Genomic DNA, 1,554 nt, shown 5'->3' on the forward strand with positions numbered 1-1,554 from the left:
CTCATATTTGTGTAACCAACTTAGAATATAACCAAAGTGAGTATCTGTGGGACGTTGTGAAAGCCCATTTGCAGGGAGCTTTCACATCTAACATCACCTTTGATATTGGTGAATTACAAAACAAAATTCTTGATTTACATAGGCAAATTCAAGAGTTTCAGCCTTCTTTAGAAGACTGGACCAAATTCCAGCAAGGCCTGGAGAGCCTCAATCCTTGGACTTATCTAAGGCACTACATTAACATCTTACATGTAGTTCTTGGAATAATATTGTTTTGTCTCTGTCTTCTGTTCATAGCCTGTAAAATTGGATGGACCACCAATCGGAAAATGAGAGCTGCCCACCCTGGCCTTACATTCTTTCAATTAATTCATAAACAGAAAGGGGGATATTTAGGGAGCCTAAGGCTCGTGGGACTGACCAACTCATCATTCCACTGGAGGCTATATGATAAAACAGCAAACTGTTTATCATGAATGCAGGATGTGGGCAAACTCACGACTGCTCCCACTGCCAGAAGGTTTGCTGAGGGCAATCACTTCCTGGCACCAGGCTCCTTGAGGTTATCTACTGGGACATCTGGAGAATGCAGTCTTGCAAGCCTACTGTGGACTGAGCAGCTGATCCCTTCTTCCACACCCCCCTTCTCACTATCTCTTTTGTCTAATCACTACGGAGGGTTGTGTAAAGCTCAGGGCCCTTGTCCACTAGAGGCAAAGTGCCCCCTGACCGCTTCTTCCAAATATACTCTTTTGTCTCTTGTCTTTTATTCCCACGTTTGCCCCCTTTGTTCAGTTTCCCTAGGTCCATGTGGGTTACATAGTGGCAACCTGAACAATGACAGAATCAGGTGCTCTACAGAAATAACTTTTTAAGGAAAGATTTGGGACTTAGAGACCCCAGGAGACATACACAAAAATGATAAGAGGATGTGCCCAAACCAGTCTTAAAGTTGTGGCACAGGGTGAGGAAGATGAAGCTGTTACTGAACCTCAGAGAGTGACTGGTGTTACAGCAAAAGTTAGCAATGGCCTGAAGGGAGGGTTTCTGAAATCAAATATGAATGATTCCCCCTCAGGGAACCCAACCTTGGGAACTACTGCATGGTTCTCTGTATGGGAAAATATCATTAATGCAGGATAAATTGTGAAATATCACAGGAAGCATCCTGCATCTAGTCAATCTTCTGTTTCTGGGGTGGCCTGTGCAGCTGTGCAGGCAGAGGCCCAACCATCCTGGTGAGTGGCACACAGGGACTGAGATCCAGCCACACCTACCAGGCCATGCTCTGGGAAGGGGGTGGGACCTGGGCAAAGGACACCTCTCTAGGACTGCAGAGAAGCCTTTGTGGGTGGGTGGGACATTCCTGTGATGGCCTTCTGGCTGGGCACTATGAAATGCTCTGAAGATTTTTCCTTGCACTGTTGCACTAACCCCAGTCCTCTATCACTGCCCCTTCCTCCTGGGCGACTTCACTGATGTTGTGGCCATGTGAATTCTCTGGCCAATGAAATGATAAAGATGATATGGCCTCTGCCAAGCAGACACTGTAAG

At 46.3% G+C, this 1,554-nt stretch overlaps 1 annotated feature.

Moving 5' to 3' along the window:
• Positions 468 to 762: a silencer, noted in NCBI's record as "tiled region #12992; K562 Repressive DNase matched - State 8:EnhW". NCBI's record gives its function as "represses a minimal TATA promoter and a strong SV40 promoter by Sharpr-MPRA in K562 cells {active_cell/tissue: K562}" and the evidence as "EXISTENCE:reporter gene assay evidence [ECO:0000049][PMID:27701403]".

This window comes from Homo sapiens, chromosome 3, assembly GCF_000001405.40.
Source record: "Homo sapiens chromosome 3, GRCh38.p14 Primary Assembly".
Taxonomy (NCBI): domain Eukaryota; kingdom Metazoa; phylum Chordata; class Mammalia; order Primates; family Hominidae; genus Homo; species Homo sapiens.